The 4846-nt window shown below is 46.5% G+C and overlaps 1 annotated feature.

Annotated features, from left to right (window-relative positions):
• Window positions 3949-4525: an enhancer, noted in NCBI's record as "H3K4me1 hESC enhancer chr9:129319165-129319741 (GRCh37/hg19 assembly coordinates)". NCBI's record gives its function as "activates a minimal SCP1, AML or CMV promoter by ChIP-STARR-seq in naive H9 embryonic stem cells {active_cell/tissue: H9 hESC(naive)}" and the evidence as "EXISTENCE:reporter gene assay evidence [ECO:0000049][PMID:30033119]".

Below are 4846 nucleotides of genomic sequence, written 5' to 3'. Positions count from 1 at the left end.
AAAGAAAATGCTTAGGAATAAGTTTAACCAAGGAGGTGAAAGACCTGCACACTGAAAACTATGAGACATTGATGAAAGAAATCAAAGGTTATTGTTTTAATAAGCCTTTTAATGCTACAGTCGGTTGTGTGATAATGCCTGCTTTGAAAACCAAATTTGCTCCGGCACAATTAATTAACTTATTCATTTGGGAAAATTTGAGCATTACTCGAATTTCCCATTTTCTTATGCATGATTTTGTCTACAAGAAACACTAGGAATATTTCATCCAGCTGAACTAGGTTGTAGGAATACACAAAACACATACTCCCCTCCAATTGCTACTATAGCTAACTCCATTCACCATGCATGTCAGCCACATCCATTCAGATCCCTTATTAGGTGCATCATATTACTCTAAAAGATGAGCAGCAATGAATATGTACACCTGGTGTTCTTTGTCACACCAACATTGGTCATTTCAGGTTTTTTTTTTTAATTTGCTGTTAACTGTTTAAAATATTTATTTTCTAGTCATTATGAGTCAAATCAACGTGTGTCACTGATGAAGTATTTGAGTGTCAGGCCCCTAATCTCATTTTTGCCCTGTGATTTCTTTTTTTTTTTTTTGAGATAGAGTTTCGCTCTTGTTGTTCAGGCTGGAATGCAATGGCACGATCTCGGCTCACTACAACCTCTGCTTCCCGGATTCAAGCGATTCTCCTGCCTCAGCCTCCCGAGTGGCTGGGAATATAGGCGTGCGCTACCACGCCCGGCTAATTTTGTATTTTCAGTAGTGATGGGGTTTCTCCATGTTGGTCAGGCTGGTCTCGAACTCCCGACCTCAGGTGATCCGCCTGCCTTGGCCTCCCAAAGTGCTGGGATTGCAGGTGTGAGCCACTGCGTCCAGCCTTGTGATGTGTGTTTGTTGCTAGTTTTTGTTGTTGTTGCTAGCGTGTGTTTTAAAAAATTAATTGACTTCATTTTTTAGAGCAGTTTTAGGTTTACAGAAAAATTGAATGGAAAACACAGAGTTCCCATATGCTTTGCTTCCCTTTTATTAATTAGCATCTTGCATTAGTGCTCTACATTTGTTACATTTGATAAGCCAATGTTGATACATTATTAACTAAAGTCCATAGTTTACATTAGAATTTACTCTGTGTTGCAATTCTATGGGTTTTGACAAGCTTATAATGACATGTATCCATCATGATAGTATCATAAAGAATTGTTTCACTTCCCTAAAAGCCCCCAGTGCTCCCCTATTAATCCTTTCCTTTCTTATCCCCTAACCCCAATCCTTGGCAACAATTGATCTTTTGCCTATCTCCACAGTTTAGTCATTTCTAGAATGACATATAGTTGAAATCCTACAGTATGTAACCTTTTTCACATTGGCTTCTCCCACTTAGCAATATACATAGAAGATTTCTCCCTGTCTTTTCATGATTTGATAGCTCATTTCTTTTTATTGCCCAATAATATCCCATTGTCTGGATATACCATATTTTATTTATCTGATCACCTACGCAAGAACATCTTTGTTTCTTCCAACTTTTGGCAATTACGAATCAAGCTGCTATAAATACCCACGTGCAGGTTTTTGTGTGAACAGGTTTTCAGCTCGTTTGGGTAAACAACAAGGAGTGTGATTGCTGGCTCATGTGGTAAGAGTATGTTTCGTTTTATAAGAAACTGCCAAACTGTCTTCCAAAGTGACTGTATAATTTTGTATTCCCACCAGCAATGAATGAGAGTTTCTGATGCTCTGCATCCTCGCCAGCATTTGATGTTGTCAGTGTTGTGTATTTTGGCCATTCTGATAGATGTGTAGTGGTGTCTTGTTTTAGTCGCAGTTTCCTAATGAGGTAGGTTCAGCCTCTTTTCATATGCTTGTTTACCATCTCTATACCTTATTTGGTCAGGTGTCTGTTCAGGTCTTTTGCCCATTTTTAAATTGGGCTGTTTGTTTTCTCATGTGTTGAGTTTTAAGAGTTTTTTTTGTGTATTTTGTATGCCAGTACTTTTTCAGATATAAGTTTTGCAAATGTTTTGTTGAAGTCTGGCTTGTCTTTTCATTCCCTAAACAGTGTCTTTTGCAGAGCAGAAGTTTTAAATTTTAATAAAGTACAACTTATCATTAAAAAAATACATTTTTTTGTATTTTTTTAGTAGAGACAGGGTTCCATCTTGTTGGCTAGGCTGGTCTCGAACTCCTGACCTCAAGTGATTTGGCCACTTTGGTCTCCCAAAGTGCTGGGATTACAGGTGTAAGCCACCTGCTCGGCTGTATTTTTTTAGTAGAGACAGGGTTTCTTTTTTTTTTTTTTTTTTTTTTGCTGTTTACTCATTCACCCATTTATTCATCCATTCGTCCATTCATCCATTCCTTGTCCTGTTCATGGGTCCGTCTCATCCCAGGTGAAGACTGGAGAGTGGATGGAGGTGACTGGGAGTGGAAAGGCAGGCTGCTATCCTGGAGGAGGGTAAGGCCCTCAGTCCTCATTGCTGCCAGGCTTCTGTCCCCAAGGACAGTGCCCCTAAGGACTCAGTGAGGTAACCCACAGAAGGGCTTAACAGAGTTTCTGCACTGTTAAGTGCATAGCAAGCATCAGCTAACAACACGAAGCATATAATTCACGAGAACAATACACTTCACAAAACGTTTCCCCCTCCAGGATCCCTTTAAATCCAAACAACAGTACTAATTCGAGAAGTGGCTGTGATTCTCCCTGTGTTCCAGATAAGGAAACTGAGGTCCTGGTCAGCAGAGGGAGTTGCCCACAGTTGTCACAGAGATTGCAGCAGTGGGGGGCAGGCAGCCGGGCTGGTGGGACTGGCTGGATAGCAGAGCTCTCCTGTCCCACCTGACCACCATTCAGCCTGTTCTCTCCTGACCCTGCCCCAGAACAAACTATCCTACCGTCCACCAGTGCCATTCCCCACTGTCTGAAATTTTTCTTCTTTTAATTTTGCTTGTTACTAGCAGAAATCACATGATTGGATTTCTTGCTTATTATCCATGTCTCACACAGAAGTGTCAGCTCCAAGAGGGCAGGAACTTTGTCTTTTGTGTTTACTGACAAATCCTCAATGCCCAGGCAGGTCCTCAGAAAACACTTGCAGAATTATTTGATCCTCTTCCAAGGGGACAAATGAAGCCTGGTGCCAGCTGTGATGCAGTGCCCCATACCAGCCAGCAGATGGCAGCAGAGAACAAGGCACCTGACCGGTGGAGCCCAGGTGAAGTGCGCAGGTTTGACCTTCAAGGTTGGCAAAAGAAGGGGAGCTTCTGGCTGTGTGTGTTGCGGGGGAGCGGGGGGGGGGGAGGGGAATGGGGGTTGGGGGTGGTGGTTGGGGGTGGTGGTGGTGGTTATGCATCTTTTTGCACCTTCTCCCCCTAACCACTGGCCAGGCCTAAGGATCCCAATCTGCTGGAAGGCAGCCTTTTCTAGTAAAATACAAAAACAGCTATCATTGATTAAGCACAAAATTAAGCCAAATACATTGTTTCATTCTCACAACAGCCCTATTATTAGCCTCATTCTGCAGACCGGAAACTGAGGCGCCATAACATGCCCCAGGTTACACAGCCAGTGAGGCACCAAGACTGGAAGGTGACCTGGGACCCATTCCTGTCACCACCATGAGATAGGGCCTCCAAGCTTCTGTTGCTCTATGGTGGACTTGGGGGGGCTGCCCAGGAGGAGGTGAGCTCCTCATTGCCGGAGATGTGCAAACTGTGCCTGGTAGGCGTCTGCTGGAGAGGATGTACGGGCACCCAGATGCCCAAAGCCACTCCTGGCCAGGCAGGACCCAGAGCAAAATGAAGTGTGGGAATGTCCGCTCCAGAATTACTAAGAATTTCAACACAATGACAGGAGAGTATTAAGCCAGGGGCAGGACCCTTCTGAGTTCCAGGGTCTGTGTGACCACACAGGTCCAATGCCCTCCAAGCCAGATCTTTTGGATCGGAGGAAGAAGTGTGAGGAATGGGTCTCAGGGTCATCTCAAGGTCAGTACCATGCTAGGGGCCTGAAGGGATGGGCCTTGTGAAGTCAATGGGATGGAGAAGACAAGGAGTGGACTCGAGTCCCCTCCAGTCCGAGTTAGGAAGCCCGTGGAGACGTCAGCAGTCCAGCTCTGCAGGAGTTCAGGGAAACGTCCCCTGCGCACATTTCTTCTCGTAAGACAGGGCTTGCATCCCCGCACCTTTTATCTTTCCCTGCTGCCTGTGATTTATCTCCACGTGAAGGGCTGGGGCGGCCTCGGAGGCAAAGGGCCCTTCTGATGGTCCATGAATCTTTCCTTTGCCGATCCTCTGGTCACTCTCTGCGCGGCCAGGCGGGCCCACCACTTCCTCTCTGCCAAGTGAGGATTAGGGAGTCATAAAACAAGGAAGCCAAACCCCTGGCCAGCAGAGCGCACACATGGGCCTCAGATGCCGGCAGAGACATGAGGGCTGCCGGGACTTGAGCCTCAGAGGAGGACTCCTTCTTTGGGGGCCGCTATTCCCAGGTCCCTGCTCCATGGGGGGACTCCCTGGCCAAGCCTGGGGTCAGAGCTGGTCAGGACCACTCCTAAGGGGAGAGAAGGTCCCAGCTGAAGCCAGAAGTGGTCCCGGCCCACACCAGGGGGAGAGGGGCTCCAGGCTGAACGGAGTGTGCGGGCGGCCCTCAGAACGGGGGAGCACCCGCCATGTGCCGGGCACCAAACGCATGTCATTCTCATTCCCCCCAGGGCTGCCATCCTGGGGCTCCTGGGGAGAAGCCCCTTGCCAAGGCCCAGAGCCAGGAAGTGGTGGGGGCTGGGATCTGAACACAGGTGAATAGACAACAAAGCTTTACACCAAAGAAAAATAGTA

This window comes from Homo sapiens, chromosome 9, assembly GCF_000001405.40.
Source record: "Homo sapiens chromosome 9, GRCh38.p14 Primary Assembly".
Lineage (NCBI taxonomy): Eukaryota > Metazoa > Chordata > Mammalia > Primates > Hominidae > Homo > Homo sapiens.
The sequence above is the reverse complement of the archived record's forward strand: the minus strand, read 5'-3'. Positions and strand labels throughout refer to the sequence as shown.